This window comes from Homo sapiens, chromosome 5 (genome assembly GCF_000001405.40).
Source record: "Homo sapiens chromosome 5, GRCh38.p14 Primary Assembly".
In the NCBI taxonomy this organism is placed as follows: Eukaryota; Metazoa; Chordata; class Mammalia; order Primates; family Hominidae; genus Homo; species Homo sapiens.
The window spans coordinates 128,530,712-128,550,291 of record NC_000005.10 but is presented as its reverse complement, the minus strand read 5'-3'; the positions used below and the strand labels follow the sequence as shown (position 1 = coordinate 128,550,291).

The 19,580-nt window shown below is 39.9% G+C and overlaps 1 protein-coding gene across 2 annotated transcripts in view, besides 3 other annotated features; it reads left to right on the top strand.

Annotated features, from left to right (window-relative positions):
- Nucleotides 3,162–3,456: a silencer, noted in NCBI's record as "tiled region #657; HepG2 Repressive non-DNase unmatched - State 24:Quies, and K562 Repressive non-DNase unmatched - State 24:Quies". NCBI's record gives its function as "represses a minimal TATA promoter and a strong SV40 promoter by Sharpr-MPRA in HepG2 and K562 cells {active_cell/tissue: HepG2 | K562}" and the evidence as "EXISTENCE:reporter gene assay evidence [ECO:0000049][PMID:27701403]".
- Nucleotides 11,221–11,721: an enhancer, noted in NCBI's record as "H3K4me1 hESC enhancer chr5:127874264-127874764 (GRCh37/hg19 assembly coordinates)". NCBI's record gives its function as "activates a minimal SCP1, AML or CMV promoter by ChIP-STARR-seq in naive H9 embryonic stem cells {active_cell/tissue: H9 hESC(naive)}" and the evidence as "EXISTENCE:reporter gene assay evidence [ECO:0000049][PMID:30033119]".
- Nucleotides 12,047–19,580, top strand: part of FBN2 (fibrillin 2) — a 280,337-nt gene continuing 272,803 nt past the window's right edge. For both annotated transcript variants that reach the window (XM_017009228.3, NM_001999.4), the window contains exons 1-2: nt 12,047–12,942; nt 13,808–13,890. In XM_017009228.3, the coding sequence (XP_016864717.1) occupies nt 12,689–12,942; nt 13,808–13,890 (337 nt within the window). In that variant the 5' untranslated portion in view covers nt 12,047–12,688. The remainder of the gene's footprint in view (nt 12,943–13,807; nt 13,891–19,580) is intronic.
- Nucleotides 13,447–14,377: an enhancer, noted in NCBI's record as "NANOG-H3K4me1 hESC enhancer chr5:127871608-127872538 (GRCh37/hg19 assembly coordinates)". NCBI's record gives its function as "activates a minimal SCP1, AML or CMV promoter by ChIP-STARR-seq in naive H9 embryonic stem cells {active_cell/tissue: H9 hESC(naive)}" and the evidence as "EXISTENCE:reporter gene assay evidence [ECO:0000049][PMID:30033119]".

The window sequence follows — 19,580 nt, the reverse complement described above, 5'->3', positions numbered from 1 at the left end:
AAACAAAACAAGAAGAAATAGACCGAAATATGGTATTGCAGTGGAATTTAACTTGCCTCTAGGTTCATGACAGATCAGCTACACAATAAAATAAGCACACAGAAGATGTAAATGATATAATTATTATACTTCAGCTAACAGATATGTCTCAAACTCTTTAACACGAAAGAGTATATAACCTCTTTTCAAGACCCCAAACATACATAATGCCATATAAATAAACAGATAATTTCCAATATATACACAAATACATGAAGAACAGATCATGATCTCTGGATATATTTCAATAGAAGTAGAAATTAATACTCTAAAAAGAAAAATATATAATCATAGGAAAATTCTATATCTTTTTCTTAAATACTTTGAATTCAAAATGAAAATTAAAAAAATTATAAAATAAAGATAATAAACACATCACTTACCAAACAATTAAGGGCTTATCTAAAGTTGTGCTCAAAGAACAATTCATAGTTTTATACTCTTAAGGAATTAAAAAGGAAGCTAAACAAGTAAATTAAGTAGTAGACTCAAAAAGTTAGAAGTGCTAGAAAATTAAACCATGTGTTTTCAAAGAAAACAGAAGGAATAAAGTAATGATGACTTAAGCAGAAATTACTGATTTGGGAAGCAGAGAATCAGTGAAATTGATAATCCTTGAGCATGCATAAAGTTTGTGGTTATTAGGAGAAGGGAGAAAACATGGAGAAAAACACAGTTGAAGAAGAGTCTCAAAAACTTTTCATTAAGAAAAAAAAATTCATTATGAAAGCCTTCAAATACACACAAAATTAGAATAAGAAACATAATAAACACCCACGTATCCGATATCACATTGTCTTGATTACTGTACCTTTTCTACTAAGTCTTGAAGTTGAGTAGTGTCAGTCCTCTGTCTCTACTCTTCTTCAGTGTTCTGTTGGCTATTCTGAGTCATTTCCCTCTTCACAGAAACCCAGAAACCTTAGAATCAGTATGTCAATATCTACAAAATAACTTGCTAAGATTTTAATTGTCACTGGGGTGAATCTACAGCTAAGTAGAAAGTAACTGACGTCTTAACCATATTTAGTGTCCCTATCAATGGGCAGGAAATATTTCTCCACTTACTTGAATATTCTTTCATCTCTCTCTTCAAAGTTTTGTAGTTTTCTTCATATAGATGTTGTACATATTTTGTTTGGTTTGCATCTAAGTATGTTTTTTGCTAATTAATTTTTCGTTGGTAATAGATAGGAAGGCAATTGACTTTTCCACATTGACATTCTATATTGTATCCTGCAAACTTACTATAATTGCTTATTAGTTCCAGGAGTTTCTTGCTGGTCTTTAGGATTTTCTACATAGACGATCATGTCATTTGCAAACATAGATAGTTCTGTTTCTTCCTTATCAATCTGTATAAATATATTTCTTATTCTTGTCTTATTTTAGTAAAATGTAGAATAGGAGTGGTGAGAGGGTACATCCTTGTCTTACTCCCAAATAAATGGTGAGAAAGCGTTCAGTTTCTCACCATTAAGTATGATGTTAGCTCTAGTTGTTTTTTGTAGATATTCTTTATCATGTTGAGGAAGTTCTTCTCTATTCCTAGTTTGCTCATAGTTTTTATTATGAATGGGTATTGGATGTTGTCAAATGTTTTTTATTATCAATGAGTATTGGACTGATGTAATCATAATTGTTTTCTGTAGCCTATTGATATGATGGATTACATTTATCAATTTTTAAATGCTTAACTAATCTTTCATACGTGGCATACATGCTCATAGGTCACAGAGTATGTTTCCTTTCATACATTGTTTAATTTGCTACTGTTTTGAGGGTTTTTGCATCTATGTTCATGAGAGATATTGGCCCATAATTTTCTCTTCTTGTAATATCTCTGGTTTTGATATTAGGGGAATGCTGGCCTCATAGAATGAATTAGGAAGTGTTTGCTCTGCTTAGATATTCTGGAAGATGTTGCAGAAATTGATACCATTGGTTCCTTAAATGTTTTGTAAAACCCCAGTGAATTAGTAGAAAATGCCACTGAAACCATCTGAGCCTGGTACTTTCTTTTTTGGAAATTATTAACTCTATTTTTAATGGATATAGGCCTGTTCAAATTATTCATCCTAGTGTGAGTTCTGATAGTCGGTGTCTTTCAAGTCACTAGTCCATTTCATTTTAGTTATCACATTTGTAGCATAGAATTGTTCATACTATTCCTTTATTATATTTTCAATGCCCACAAGATAAGTATGATGGTTCTATTTTATTTATAATATTAGTAATTTGTGTGTTCTCTTTTTTTCCTTTGGTTAGCTTGGCTAGAGGTTTATCAATTTTATTAATCTTTTCAACTAACCAGGCTGCTCTGTCTATGGAGTAGCCATTCATTTTTTTCTTTAATTCTCTATCAAACTTGTTTCACTTTACTCCATGGACTCCACATGAATTTTTTCTTCTGCGAGATCCAAGAATGCTCTCTTGGGGTCTAGATCTGGACCTCTTTCTGGCAACATCTTCCATGGCAAACCATGAAGGGACCATACTGAAGAGACCCCCAACTCAAAGGAAATAGACTGCAGCACCAATTGGCTGAATTTGTAGTCAAGAAAACTTTTCTTTTGAGCTATTTACAGCTTTTAGGAATTGAGTAAAATATACTCCTGTAAACAAAATCTGGAGCATATTTCTTTCTACTTTATTTCTCCAGAATTTAGAAATTATTTATATCTTTTTGGGGTGGTTGCGGGGACAGGGTCTGGCTGTCACCCAGGCAGGAGTGCAGTGGTGCAATAACAGCTCACTGCCTTCTGGGCTCAAATGATCCTTCCACACCACCATGCACAGCTAATTTTTGTATTTTTTATACAGACAGAGTTTTGCTATGTTGCCCAGATTGGTCTTGAACTCCTGAGTTCAAGCAATCTGCCTGCCTCAGCCTCCCAAAGTGCTGAAATTACAGGTGTGAGCCACTGCACCTGGCCTTATATCACCTTTTGTTGGGATTCTGAGTTATAAATGGCCCTCACCATACCGATGCTTTCTCACTGAATGCTTCTCTATCCTGAATACAAGAGACCCTAATACTTAGACAGGAATATCATCACCCATTCAGCCTGAAGAAGTTACAGAAGATGAACCTTTTAGGATTAAGGGTCCCTTTTAGAAGGGAGAGGGGAAATATGTCAGAGGTGTTTGAATCAGAGCAACTCCATTCTGAATAGGGACTGGATAAAATGAGGCTGAGACTTGCTGGGTTGCATCCCCAGGAGGTTAGGCATTCTTTGTCACAGGACGAGATAAGAGGTTGGTGGAACTGGTTTCACAAGATACAAGTCACAAAGACCCAGCTGGTAAAACAGGATGCGGTAAAGAAGCCAGCCAAAACCCATCAAAACCAAAAGGAGGAGAAAAGCGAACTCTGATTGTCCTCACTACTCATTATATGCCAATTATAATGCATTTGCATGCTAAAGGATACTCCCACCAGCACAATGATGGTTTACAAATGCCATGGCATTTGAAGTTACCTTATATGGTCTGAAAAGGGGAAGAACCCTCAGTTCTGGGAACTCCCCATCCCTTTCTCGAACAACACATGAACAATCCACCCCTTGTTTAGCAAATAATCAAGAAACAACCATAACTATACTAGTTAAGCAGCCCATCCTGTGCTGCTCTTTCTATGGAGCAGCTATTCTTTTGTTTCTTTATTTCTCTAATATATTTGCTTTCACTTAAAAACAAAAACAAATAACCAATATTTTGTCTGTTGATATTCTCTATTGCTTTCCTGTTTTCAATTTCTTAATGTCTGCTGTAATTTTTATTTCTTTTCTTCAATCTATCTTGTATTAATTTGCTTTTCTTTTTTTGTTTCCTAATGTGGAAGCTTAGATCATCGATGTTAGATATTCCTTCTTTGCTAATATATGCATTCAGTGTTATAAATGCTCCTCAAAGCACTGCTTTCTCTGCATCCTGAAAATTTTATTTTATTTTATTTTATTTTATTTATTTATTTTGAGATGAGTTTCACTCTGACACCGGGCTGGAGTGCAGTGGCACAATCTTGGCCCACTGCAACCTCTGCCTCCTGGGTTCAAGTGATACTCCTGCCTCAGCCTCCTGAATAGCTGGGACTACAGGCACATGCCACCACGTCCACATCCAGCTAATTTATGTATTTTTTAGTAGAGATGGGGTTTCACCATGTTGTCCAGGATGGTCTCGATCTCTTGATCACAGATCTCTTGGTCTGCCCACCTCAGCCTCCCAAACTGTTGGGATTACAGGCATGAGCCACCGCACCTGGCCCTGAAAATTTTAATAAGCTCTATTTTCATTTTTATTTAGTTTAAAATATTCTTTAATTTCTCTTGAGACTTCTTTTTTGGCATGTTTGTTATTTAGAAGTTTATTATTTAGTCTCCAGATAGTTAGGGATTTTTCCAGCTCTATTCTGTCTTTTGTTCCTAATTTAATTCTATTGTGATCTGAGAGCATACTTTGTATGATTTCTATTCTCTTAGATGTTTGTTAAGGTGTGTTTTATGGGCAAAGTTGTGGTCTATCTGGGTGAATATTCCATGAGAGCTTGAGAAGAATGTGTATTCTGTAGTTATTAAATGAAATATACTATGAATGTCAACTAGATCCAGCTGATCGGTGGTGGTGCTCAGTTCAACTATGCTCTCATTGGTTTTCCATCTGCTGCATCTTTAAATTACTGATAGAGGGTTGTATATACAGTTTTAATAATTATCAACATTTTGCCATTTCATCTATTAACCTCCTTTTTTCAATCGCATGGGATGAAATATCTCTACATTGACAGAAGATGGGTAAGAATGTGTCAAGTTTCTTTAAAAAGGTTTTATCCTTAATATTTTAAATGTTTTAAAAAGCATAGATTCACAGAGAATTGCACAGATAGCACAGAGAGATCCTGTTTACCCTTTACCTAGTTTCTCCCAATGGTTATTTCTTATGTACAATATAAAAACCACAAAATTGACACTGGCACAATGTGTATGTATAATTCTATTCCATTTTTCACATGCACAGATTTGGGTAAGCACCACCAAGTGGTTAGAGAACTATTTCCTCATCACAAAGGTCTCCCTGTGCTACCCCTTTAACTTATCACAGTCTACTAGTATTATCATTTTACCAGTATAGAAACCTTACCACCTTTTATGTGTCTTTCCCTTCCTCTGTTTACAAAATAATTTTCTTAAATATTTCTTATATATACCTGAGACAATGTTATAATTTTTGTATGAACCATATTTAGAAAAATCAAGAGATAAAATTTATTGTAATTACTCATACTTTTCCATATATTCCCTCTTTTTGTTCTTTCTTCCTTCTTGTTTCAAGAATCCTTTGGTTAATATTTCATTTCTGATTAAATAATTTCCTTTAGCCATTATTTTAGGGTGGGTCTGATGGAGACACATTCTTGTTTTCCTTCATTTAAAAGGGTCTTCATGTGTCCTTTATTTCTGAAGGATATTTCCACTGGGTATAGAATTCTTGGTTGACAGTTCTTTACTTTCTTTCAGCACTGAAGAAATGGGTGTCACTCCCTTCTGGCTTCCACACTTTTTGATGTAAAATCTGCTATCATTTGAATTGTTTTTTTCCAGAAAGGACAAGTAAAGTGTCCTTTCTTTCGCTGCTTTCATGATTTTTTTCTTTGCCTTTAATTTTCAAAACTTGGACTATGATGAGTCTTGATGTGAATGCCTTTGGGTTTATTCTGTTTAGGACTTATTAGGCTTATTGAATCTGTATATTTATGCAAAGCCCAAAATTTGAAAATGTTTCACCATTATTTATTCTCCAAGTAATTTTTCAGCAGCTTTATCCTCTTTCTCTTCCTTTGAAATTCAGATAATCAAATGTTACATATTTTATTATAGTCTCATAGCTCCCTAAGGCTGTTTGATTTTTCAGTGTATATACTCTTCATTGTTCAGTTTGAGTGATTTCTATTTTTCTATCTTCAAGTTCACTGATTCTTTCCTCTGCTCTCTGAATTTTGCTGTGAAACCCATCTATTAAGTTTTAAAATTTTGTTTTATTTTTAAATTCTAAAATTTTCATTTGGTTCTTCTTTATGTCTTCTATTTCTGTGCTGATGCTTTCTACTTTCTTTCTTTTATCATCTGTTTCAAGAGTTTTACAATGGCCCACTGATGCATTTTTATTGTAGTTGCTTTAAGAATATTGTCAGACAATTCTAACATCTGTGTCATCTCAGTGTTGATGTGTATTGATTTTCTTTTCTCATTTAAGTTAAGATCTTCCTGGTTCTTTCAATGATAAATGATTTTCAGTTGAATCTTGGAATTAAAAAAAATTGCTGGTAAATAGTAGGTGTATATGAATCTTGGACATTTTTTACTTTATTTTGTGAGACTTTGGGTTATATTTAAATTCTTTGTTTTAGCAGCCTCCTCTGATACTGCAATGGTGGGCAGACAGGGCAAGGGATGCCTCATTACTGCTAGATGACGGTGGAAGTCCAAGATCTACATGCAGCCTCTGTTGACACTCTTGAGGGGAGGAGTAACTTGTTATTTATTACTGGGCAGGGGTGACAGTACAGGGTCACCACTCAAGCTCTTCTGTACCACTCTGGCTAGGACAGTGGTGTTTCATTACTGCTCCCAATGTAGTTTCCCATGATATTCCATGACACCTTGGTGGTGGTGGGATGGCCTCATTACTGCTGGGCAGTGAGAAGATTCCTGAGCATCTACTAGGTATCTTCTGACACCATCCCAGCAGACAGGGGCATCTCATTACTGTTAGGTGGAGGTGGAAGTCCAGCTTCTCCACTGACACCATGGGGAGAAGGTGGCTCACGACTGTGCAGGGGGATGAAAGTCTGAGCTTTCCACTTGGCTTTCTCTGACACTATCCAGGAGAAGGGGAGGGATACCTTGCTACACCCTGGTAAGGATGAAAGTCTAGGCTCCTTACTTGGCCATTGTTGGTAAAGGTGACTACAGTTTTTTTCTGTGGTTTGGTTAGGGCAGTTATTGTCTAAAAGTGTTTTGTCTTTCTAGGCTATCCCTTTCTTGTCTTTTGGCTAGAGAGGGCAGGCTTTCTTTCGAGGCTTTCTTTGGTCTGTTGCCAATGGCATTTCCAAATTGCCAGATTTCCTAGCACTCATTCTGGGATACAAAAAGCAAAAGACAATTCAGGAAAACCACCATCATGTCATTCCTCAGGTTCCAAGGTCACTAGCAGGGTAACTAGTCTGCCTTCTTCTCCCTACCATTTACAGTCTTCTTATGTGTGCATGCTCTCTCTCTCCACATATATTTATTTATGTTTAGTTAAGTATACTTGCCAAGAGGAATAAAGTACATCTAATCCACTCTGCCTTTGTTCTTCTTGCAGTATTTTGAATCAAACCCAGGCATCCTATCATTTCATCTATAAAGACTTTAGTAAGTATAACATTAGCCAGTATATTAAAAATATAACAATGATTCCATTGTCACATCTCCCAAAATTAAAAATAAATATTTAATATCTAGTAACCAGTGTTCAGTTCAGTGTTCTATCACTACATAACAAATTACCCCTAAAGTTATAGGTTTAAAAAATTTATTTTGCCTTAGCCTTTTATGGGTCAGGAACTCAGAAGAGTTTGCCTGGGTAGTTCTTACTTGGGGTGTCTCACGCAGTTGCAGTTATATATTGACTGTAGCTGCAACCATATAAATAAGACTTACTAGACTGGATGATAGCATCAAAAATGTTATTTTTCACTAACATTCATATCAAAATCCCAGATAAGGGGCAAGCATTGCTTTTGGTGGTTGTGCCATAACAGTTCCCCTCCCTCTTCTCTACTGATGTCATTTATTTGAAGAACTTGGTCTTGTGGTATATCCCATTCTAGATCTGGTTACCTATATTCTCAAGGTATCATTTAATATGTTTCATGGTCCTCTATTGTTCTTGGAAACTGGGAGTTAAATGTAGAGATATGGTTACATTCAGGCTCAGTTTTTTTGACAAAGATATTTCATAGGTGGTCTGTGTACCTCCTATTGCACCATAAAAATAAAAACATAATGTCTGGTTGTCTTACTTTTCATAAGTTAATAATTAATCAGTAGGTTCTGGTGGTAACAGCTTGACACATTCACTAAAAAGTTCCCAATTGACTTTTTGATGCACGGCTTCCCAAGTAAATTTGTATTTTGGACCAGATAATGCTTTGCTATGGGAGACTGGCCTGTACATCGTAGAATGTTTAGCAGCATCTCTGATACTCTCATCACCACTCCCACACACTGTCTTGTTGTGACAATAAAAAATGTCTCCAATTACTGCCAAATATACCCTGAGGAAAAATGGCCACAAGTTGAACACTTCTTACCTAATGGTTTTAGCAGTTGTTAAAAACCGTTGCCTAGGTCCATTATTTTATTAGGGTTTACAAGTAGTGATTTTTCTAATTCCATCATTCCTGCATTTACAACTGTGGTTTTTTTTTTTTTTCAAAAGAAATACTTTCTCTGGGTCTTTCTAGCAAAGGAAGAATAACTGGTTAATAATTTTATTTATCGATGCGTTTAGAATAGTGAGCTGTGCCCTAACAACCTCCAAAAGTGGCCAACTAATTTTTGTTTGGAGTATCATTCGGAAATCTTGAATACTGACACACTTCATGTATTTCAATCTTTTGCTGTCATTTCTTTTTTCTTTTTGATGCTCAAGTTTCCCCATCCTTAACCAGCAAGATCTCTTTCAACTTAGCTCAGGTTTCCTTTTGACATGACCTTAATAGTCAGATAATTTCTTGCTTTCAGGCATGACAAGACAGATAGTCCAGATTCACTTTATGCATTTCCTTTCCCAGACTTAGAATCTGCCACTCACCCAAGGAACCCTGATTCCTTTAATTTAGAAATGGTATTTAGGAACCACAATCTGGTCACAATGACCTTATGGTTTTTGGGTTGTCACTATTTCTAGGTCTTTGGAACATAGTTCCAAAGCCAGAACTATAAAACTAAGTTTATTTAGAAAGGTTTAGCTTCCACCATTGTTTCTTTCCTCATAGTCTCCCCTTTCTCTACAGATAACCATTTTTTATTAGATTTAGTTTATACTTCTTGTTTGTTGTTAAATCTATAACACACTCATACCCCTAAAAAGTAGCATACAATATTATACAGCTTTCATTTAAAAAATATTGTAAAAAATAGACATAACATAAAATTTACCATTTTAATCATTTTTAAGCGTGCAATTCAGTAGCATTAAGTACATGCACAATGTTGGACCACCGTCACCATTATCCATTTCTAACTTTTTCATCATCCTAGGCAGACCACTTTGTACTCACTAAACAATAACTCATCCTTCCCATTTTCCTGGAGCTCCTGGTAACCTTTATTCTACTTTGTCTCAATGAACTGCCTAGTCTATCTGTACCTTGCTTTTTTTTTATTTTAGTAGACTGTATATGCTAGAGATCACTCTCTAAGAGCATACAGAGTTTCTCTTCATTCATATTTGACAGCTGCATAATACTTCACTGAATAGATGAAGTCATACACAACAGTTGCTTGTTCATGGGAAGTTTGTGTTTCTAGTCTTTCACTATTATAAACAGTGCTGCAAAGAACAGTCAAATGTATGCACCATTTCATTTTTTTTTGTCTATGTATCTTTTATATAGGTTCCTAAAAGTGGAATTGCTGGATCAAAGGGTAAAGGCATAGGCAATTCTAGAGCATTTAGATTTAATGTGATGGACAGGAATGAACCATGAAGCCACGTAAGTATTAAACAACAGCAACAACAACAAAAAAAGCAGATACAGGATGTTTTAAATGGTATGACTAAAACACTGCTTTAAACCAGGAGATAGTTACATTAGTTAGCTCTTTTAGTTTAAATAATTTTATTATTTGAAGCGAAGTACGTGAAAATAACTGTATTGCTCTTTCTCTGGATTTTAACAAATCGGTGTCTCACATGAAATTATGTAACTCTTATCTTTTCTTCTGCTTTATGAGAATACTGTAACAAGGGGTACTACCTTCAGACCCTTTGACTACATGGAGAAATAAAGGAGGGAGTTGTGCCAATTACTGGAGAATTTTGGCTGTCAAATAGCACATCTGGGCAATTTGGGCCAGAAATACATATATATGATATATGATATATATATGATATATGATATATATGATATATGATATATACGATATATATGATATATGATATATATGATATATACGATATATGATATATACGATATATATGATATATATGATATATGATATATATGATATATATGATATATATGATATATATGATATATATGATATATGATATATATGATAGATCATATATGATCTATCATATATATCATATATCATATATCATATATATGATATATATGATCTATCATATATATGATATATCATATATGATCTATCATATATATGATATCATATATATGATATATGATATATATGATATATGATATATATCATATATATGTTATGTGTATATATGTATATATGTACGTGTATATATATACACACACACACACACACACACCCTCCTATACATATTCAACATTTTCCCCTTTAAACTAAGGTTTTCTAGGCTTGAATAAACCAGACACTGCTCTTTTGTACTGTTTCGCAAACTGTGCTTGGATGGTCTCTCCTTGTTTTCAGGAGTGTTTGATTTTTAAATTGTGATATTCCACTAAATGAGAAATGACCAGGACTTCACAGAGATTTCATGAAAGGAGGGCCACAAAGGAAGAACCCAGAGCAGGCCGGTGAGAGGCACTCTAAGAGGTACAGAGGGTTGCACCAATTGCTAGGATTTAATCAATCAGAAGGGGTCCAAGCCAGGAAGCAAGGGCATGCCCCGAGCCTCATTTACCCGCCTTGTCACCACCCTGCCCGCTAGTACATTTCAGAGTCTCTAACCCCTCCCTGCATGCAAGCCCAGGCAGAGTCCTGCCAGGTTTCACACCAGAGCACACCCCTGCACGGACTCCCCAGGACCGCGGCGCCGGCTGGCTGCCTCGGCCCCCCGCGGCCGCGTGAGCTCCCTCTTGGTGGTGGAGGGCGCATTTCAATCTGGAAACTCCCAGCCCCTAATTTGGTCCCGCAGACTGACGCCGCTCCCGGTGGGGCGGTGGGGGTAGGAGGGCAAAGGGGAGGTCTCCTCCTTCTTGGATTGAGGCTGCAACCAACAGCCCCGTGAGCCTCTATTCCTGGCTGACTGCGAATCCCCCCATCCCAGGTCAGGGGCCGGGACCCTACAGAAAGACCCGTTCTCATCCTCAACCTTGCGGCCTCTGTCCGGCGGGGAAGTTCAGCTGCGGGTCAGTTCAGCTGCGGGTCCGGCCAAGCCTGGCGCGCTTAGGCACCCTAGTCCCTGGTCCGCGGCCGGGCGAGGACGGAGGGGGAGGGGAAGGGGCTGCTGCCTCCTTTCCCAAATCCGGTCCCTAATCGCCCCATCCCCCGCCGTCTACTCGCTTTGTACAGGCAGTCAAAACAGAGCTAGCGGCCAATTGACGGGGACGGGAAGCAAAGCCGCCTAGCGCCTCGCCCCCTCCAGCCGGCCCCCCGGGCCCCTCCTCTCGGCGCCCGGACCTTGGCCCTCCCTCTCCTTTCCCACTTCTCTCTTTGCCCTAACTTCGCCCCCATCCCCCGCTCATTTCCTCTCGCACCCGGGCTCGCCAATCCCTCTTTCCAAGTCCCTCTTCCAGCCCGGCCTTCCTCTCGGGTTCGCCCCCCTTCTCCCCAATCTCCGTCCTCTTCCCTCCCTTCGCCCTCCCCCCCTTCCTTCCTCTTCCCCTCACCCAACCCTGGTTCCCCTCGTTCCTCAGTCCCGATCTCTCCCTTACTCTGTCCCCGCCCACTCTGCGCCGGCCTCTCAGTCCGGGTTGAGCCCCACGTGTGGACGGCCGCGCCCCCACTGACAGCCGCCGCCCGCCGGCCCGCCCCGCGCCCCGCCGGGCCTCTAAAACCCCCGCGCCGCGCCCTCCACCGCCGCATCTTCTCCAGCGCCCAGCCTCCCGCCCTCTCTCTTGCTGGCCGCACGCCCCGGCCCCGCGCACCTCCGCCCGGCTCCGCAGCCGCTACCCGCGCTTCGTTGCCCTGTGGGACTCCGAGCGAGCCCGGAGGGAACCCTCCTCTTCTTCTGGGGGCGACTTTTGTTTGCTTGCCTGTTTCTTTCTGGTGACTTTTGCAGCTTTCCAATATCCGTCTTCGGAGCGCACGGGAATCCGCCGAGCTCTGCGTGCAGGCCCTTTTTTCTTTTGAGGTTCACATTTTTTGAAATTTTACGCCAGGGCTTTTGTAATTTCCTCCCCCGCCCGCTGACGGTCCTGGAGTCGCTCGGGGCTTTAGGCCGGTTATGCAACGTGTACCGCTCGGGGCTGCCGGCTGCACCTCCGCCGCGCCTCGCCGCTCACTGCGCTAGACCCGGCGCCCCGCGTCTCGCTTCGCGGGCAGTCAGGGGGCCGGCGCTCTGTCGAGGTCTCCAGCTAGAGCAGGGAGCCCGAGCCCGAGGGAGTCCCCGGAGCCGACGAAGGGCTTATTAGACCCTGACTCTTTTCTGAGGCGCGCAGATTTTGTCTTTGATCACTCCCTCTCCGCGGGTCTACGGCCGCGCGCTTTCGGCGCCGGCGATGGGGAGAAGACGGAGGCTGTGTCTCCAGCTCTACTTCCTGTGGCTGGGCTGTGTGGTGCTCTGGGCGCAGGGCACGGCCGGCCAGCCTCAGCCTCCTCCGCCCAAGCCGCCCCGGCCCCAGCCGCCGCCGCAACAGGTTCGGTCCGCTACAGCAGGCTCTGAAGGCGGGTTTCTAGCGCCCGAGTATCGCGAGGAGGGTGCCGCAGTGGCCAGCCGCGTCCGCCGGCGAGGACAGCAGGACGTGCTCCGAGGGTAAGTGGGCAAGCGGCTCCGCACCTAGGGCTCCGGCTTGGGGGAGGGGGGAATCCTCAGTTTGGCGGCTTTCTGGCCCACTCCGTCCCAGACCCTTTAGCTGGAGCCTAGAGCTGCAGCCCCCTTTGCCAGAATATCCAAAGACCCCCAGGAGCGCGTCCCCCTTTTCCTTCCCAACCCCGCAGCTCAGCGGGCGGAAAGCCCTCTCTCCGGGGGTTGGGCGGCGGGTGGTTAGGGGGTCCAGGGGTGCCGATCGCAGAGCGTGTGCAGAGCTCGCGCTGCGGGAACAGGTTCTGAATGTCCGGCGGCAGGCGGGCCTGGGTCCGCCTGCTGCAGGGGCCAGAGAAGCCTGCTTGCTCCCCACGTCGGGGCCGCCGCTCGTGAGCCTTTTGTTTGAGGACGTGTGCAGGGTTCACAGCTCACCTTCTCATCGTCAACCCGAGCGCTCCACCTTGCGACGCGCTTTCCTTGACACGTCGGGGCCAAAGTAACAGTTGACCAAGGAGGAATGGATTTGGGAAGGAGGGCAAGGATTCTTTGGAACGGAATGGTCCCTTTGTTCTCTGCATCTGGAAGCTAGAATAGTAGCAAATTATATGTTTCCATGCCTCTTTTCGCCCTTTAAAAAGGCAGGCAAGGGACGACAGATGAAAGGCAGTGTTTAGACATTTCTGACCCTCCTGCATTCCAGCATCTAGCTCTTTTGCTTCCACGTCTGCCTCCCGATCTCCAATAATTTGAAGTGTAATTTTGATTTGTTTGTTGTCCTGAAATCTACTCGCTCGGGGCATTGCTTACGAAGACCGTTTATATGTTGCTGCATCCCTCTACCTATCTGTTACGTGACCGCGCTTGTCCATCACAGGCCCAACGTGTGCGGCTCCAGATTCCACTCCTACTGCTGCCCTGGATGGAAGACGCTCCCTGGAGGAAACCAGTGCATTGTCCGTGAGTGCTTGGCAGGGATCGCAGCTTGGGGCAGCGCACTCGGCCCTATCTCCGGCCGACCTCTTGCACTCAGCCATTTGGACGCATAGTTGCGTTTAAAATCAAGTGATCACATTGCACTGATAATCGGGACGCGGCCCCATTTGAATAGTGGGGAAGACTCAACCGGTTTGAGTCAGTTCAGACTTCACTTCTAGACTCTGTTGAAGGGCAATAATGATAAAGATTTCAAAGATAATTGAAAGTTTTATCTTTCTATGTCTATTAATACAAATTGGAAGAGGGGAGGAGTAGAGCAATTATCTAGATAACTCAAAACCACTTTTTCTGTAAAAAATCCAGATGAGACCACATGTTATTATGCAAATTATCAGGCTTTTAACTCTGCTTGAGGTTTGGGCCTTATGAAGATCAAGATTTCTTAGGCATTTATATAAAACCACTTTCTTATTTCTGGTTTTATATCAACAACCACATAACCTAGATACGAAAGGAGCATTCTCGCGGATTTAGTGTTGACCTAAGTTAACAAACTTTTAAAAGACAGAACTCTTACAAAGGGGCTTGAGTTTTTTTTTTTTTTTGCTTTTTGGAAGACGTTTAAATTTAGGGTTTCCAGACCCTGAACCTCAATAGTGTGCAGTAGATTTCCAAAGTATGAATCTTAGACCTTGAAAAATTCTGTATCTCTGACCTTAAAAGTTTTGATTATTTTATTCTGTTTCCAAAGTGTATAACCAGTTCTCCAAGTTCTAATTGGAGAGCTCATTAGTTATCAGCCTCACAGTCACGGACTCTGGGATGTCTTATTTCATATGCCTGTAAATTTGTGACTTGCAGTGTGACTGGCCTTCTCCTGTGTGTTTATGTAGCACAACCACATTTGTCTTGTTGGAAGGAGAGCCAGGTATCATAGACAGCACATTCATTTAGAGCCAGTCTTGACTTTAGATTGACCTCCATGTTCTCCAGGGAGAAAATAATTATGCAACTGTGAACAGAGAAAAAGGGCAAGGCACACTAACCAAGGGATAATAAGGATGTAGTGGCATTTCTAACTCTGTATTTATTGGTTTTGTGGTTTTGAGATAGATGCTTAATGTTATTTCTGGGCAGTTTTTAAAAAAGAGATGAAATCTCCAGTGTCATAAAGACTAATTTCTTCTTATTTTTTCTACCTTAACATCCCACTATTTCCAATGGCAAAAATAGGAAACAACTGTGTTATTTAAAGTGACTTATAAATATTTTGAACAAATCCTCTGATTATAATAAGCCTTTGCTTTATTTTTTAAAAGAACATGTTCTGCATTCTTTTCTCTCCAACACAGAAGTCATATGTGAGGCATTAATGGAGGGTGGGTTTACTCTTTCAGGCCAGTAGGGCATTACCATGGCTGCTTTAAACTTACACGGTTTTTTAGACTCCTGAAACAGCTAACGTCACTCATCACACACCTGCCATACTAGCTGGGAGTGACTTAGGCACGGCGGAAAGTCTGACTCACTAAATGTAATGAATGTGACTGCCATTATTGAGTTGGAGAGCAGCCGAGGAGGAGGGATTGGTTCATGGTACGTGTTGAAAATCTGTAAAGTCAGATTTTATTGGATCAGTGTGGAATGGGAATTCCAGAGAGCAGAGCCTTCCAGAATATTTGCAGTAGAAATATATGTATGGCCCCACTGATCACTGGTAGAAAATCAGCTTTGAAAATCTCAGGGTAACAGTGACTATTGTAATCTGCATTTCTGAGACTTGAAATATTTGGATGGTTATGAGCTACATTGGAATTTACACGTATCAGAAATCTATGAGAGTAAACTTTGAAATGATCTTTATATCTGTAAGAAACATTTATAACACTTGTGTCAAGACGTATCTACAAAAATATTTATTAGAAACACATCTAAAAATTCTAAGTACCTAAGATTATTAAACAGTGCACAAAATAGGGACAGTGTAATACCTTTATATTCTATTGCATGAGTCTCATTTAATGCTAATAGCCTGCATTCAATTCAGTAGTTCAATTAGTCTGACATTTAAAATGATCATATGTAGAGGTAATAAGTGAAATGAAACCGTTATAAACTCAAAATCAAGAATTTTAATTCCAGGCCTTCCTGATGATAATGAATTAAGTAAATTATTATATTTATTGGATTTATCTGTATCACACCATTTAGCAAAAGAAAGTATCTGAGACCATTTACAAAAAAGAAAATAAATAAAATACAAATAAATAAAAACCAAATATTAATTTTCTCATACATTTGTACCTCAGCATTCTTTTAATATAGAAAAATAAAAAATGGTCAACAGAATTTTAGTGTTTGACAGGCTTTATAAGGAGAAGATATTAAAAAGAAACTGTAATTCTCCAAGTTCTGGAAACCTAATGCATTTTGATTTGAGTCTCTATGTTTTGTTGGTATTGTGCTTAGTTGTAGCCTAGAAAAATTACTGAAGTACTTCCAAACTTCCAAATATTCATTTCCAAAAGTACGGAATTGACTTTCTCACCTTTTTTTTTTTAATCTTCTTAGAACATGAAGCAATGAAACAATTTGCTTATTAATTTATTTATTGTGAAATTATGCTATGAACAGTATTTTGATCAATATAATAAGAGTGGGATGAGGTTGGCTGGACTAAATAACATTTGAGACCTGAGGAAACATCAGAGCATTCCGGTATAATTCCTTTATGTTATGCTACCAAATGAAAACACTGAACCCAGAAAGGCTGTGGGTTTTTCTGGAGCTCATAGCAGATCAATGGCAGAGTGACAACTAAACTTCAGACCTTTTGGGTACTATGTATTCTTTACCTGGCCATGTGACTTCTCACAGCATCACTGAAGTCTCAGCCCCTAGGTCCTGTCTCCCTCTCCCTCTGGTATTTCTAGGTCTCATAGTTTTAGTAATTGTGGGAGGGACGTATTCAGTAAGTGTACCATAGTCTGAGGCTGTTGTGGGGCAAAAGGGCCTCAGCATTCTTGCTTCTCATTGGCTCACAGATACAGAGTATATACCTGTATCCACGACAGGTAAATGCCTGAGAATGCTCAGTCTCCAGCCCATCAAACCTTCATTTGGTTTGGAACCCGGGTGGAGGTACTTTGGGTCTCCTCTCTTAAGCCTAGACTAAATATTGGCCTTCTGGGGAGGAGGAAACTTTGAAATAAAACAATGTTTTAATGCACATTTGTCATTGGAGAGTTACTGGTGATCAGAAACTGTAGTACATTTTAAGAAGTAAGAGTCAACTCCATGGCAGGAAACATATTCTTGCCTAAAATATTTTTATCTTAACATCACAGTATTTGACACTATTCACTTTTTCTTTTTTTATTAATTTGAGACAGGATCTGGCTGTCATCCAGACTGGAATGCAGTGGCATGATCACAGCTCACTGCAGCCTTGACCTCTCGGGCTCAAGCTGCATTCTGACCTCAGCCTCCTGAGTAGCTGGGACTATGGGCACATGCCAATGTGCAAGGCTAATTTTTAAAAAAATTTTCGTAGCGTTGGGGTCTGCCCAGGCTGATCTCCAACTTCTAGGCTCAAGTGATCCATTTGCCTAAGGCTCCCAAGGTGCTGGGATTACAGACATGAGCCACCATACCCAGCCCACTGTTTTCATTTATAAGAAGTACTAATGCTAGTAGTAATATATGGATATCAGAAGGCATCTTGGAGAAGAAAAACAATTAGTGAGTTAGTTTACTTCTGCAGGAAATGCTTTTTTCATTGTTGAGGGTCCCAAATCTCTTTGAAAGTTGTGGGACCTTTCCCTAACTACAGCCAGTTTCAGAGCATTTCCAGACTTTCTTCTTGTCTTTATATATCCAGTCATGGCATGAGCATTAAAGTACACAGCCCTTGTGCCGAAAGAGAGAACTCAATTATGGTTATAGAGAGAAATCTCTCAGCTCCTAAATGAACTGTCTCTAAACATGGGAGAGACTTCCCATTCGAAGGTACTTGGCTACAAGTGTGGAGTATCTGTGGAATGTATTGTGTCAGTGAGCCTAACATTCTTTGCTGTGATGACCCTCATACCTTTCTGTTCATTGGAGGTCACAGCTGCAGGAGGCTTTGACTCTCCCCACCATCAAAATGCCACAGTAGCTTTTCTGAGCAGTAGGAATACGCTAGGTTGTGGAGATAATATGGAAGGAGAAAGGCTGTAGGAAGGAGAGGGAATTATTGAGGGGACCAAAGATTGATCACAGGGTAGGTCAGATACCAGCCTGGAAGGAATGTGTGTGGAACCCTTGAGGCTTGGCCAAGTCATTAGAACTGGAGCCTCTGGTTCAGCCAATTTCATGTTGTCTGTCTCCTGTGAAGGCTTTTGCATAGTGGGCTGTATTTTCTCTATTCCTGCAACCCTCCCAACTACTTAGAATCAAGGCTGTCTTCTCTGGGTGAATTCTGCATTTTAAACTCTCAGTCTTTAATGAAAGAGACAACCTGTATTGATAAGACAATTAAAGATTTAGGATTATGCAATTTTTTTTTCCTTATTGCAAAGCTTTAACTGTTTATTAAAAAAGTAATAATCCATACATAAGCCCATCATGCAGTGAGATCCATTGTACTGTTTGGTGAAAGTTCTTTTAGACCTTTTAAAGCCAGTAAATATGTGTGTGTATATATATATATATATATACACACATACATATATATACACTTATATATACATACATATATATACACACACACGCACACATATATATGTATTTTAAACTTAAAAAGCCTGTGCTTTATTTTATTCTACCATGTTTTCATTCTGTAACGTTTACTTACATATGACTTTATTTTTGTTTCTATTTTTCCATAAGTTATTGGGGTACAGGTAGTATTTAGTTGCACGAATATGTCCTTTAGTGGTGATTTGTGAGATTTTGGTGCATCCATCACCTGAGCAGTGTCCACTGCACCATATTTGTAGTCCTTTATCCCTCACCTCCTCCCACTCTTTCCTCCAAGTCCCCAAAGTCCATTATATCATTCTTATGCCTTTGTGTCCTCATAGCTTAGCTCCCACATATCAGTGAGAACATACAGTGTTTGCTTTTCCATTCCTGAATTACATCACTTAGAATAATAAGTCTCCAGTCACATCCAGGTCACTACAAATGCTGTTAATTCATTCATTTTTATGGCCGCATAGTATTCCATTATATATATGGTGATATATATATTATATGTATCACAGTTATATATATATATCACCATATATATATAACAGTTTCTTTATCCACTTGTTGATTGAAGGGCATTTGGGTTGGTTCCACGATTTTTCAGTTGTGAATTGTGCTGCTATTAACATGCATGTACAAGTATCTTTTTCGAATAATGACTTCCTTTCCTCTGGGTAGATACCCAGTAGTGGTATTGCTGGATCAAATGGTAGTTCTACTTTTACAGCCACTATGGAAAACAGTGTGGAGATTCCTTAAAGGATTATGCAATTTGAAACAGCTTCATTTGTTTACACGTTTTCATAAGGATACCTGTGAGACTTATTCCCAAGTCTGCAATGGGTAATTTTATTGCATATCTGAAGTTAGACATTTATATCATATATTTTATCTTAGTTTTTCAGGCTTTTTATTTTTAAATACAGCTTTCTTGTTTTGTAAACTATGGTTTATTATATAGTTATTCATTCATTTTC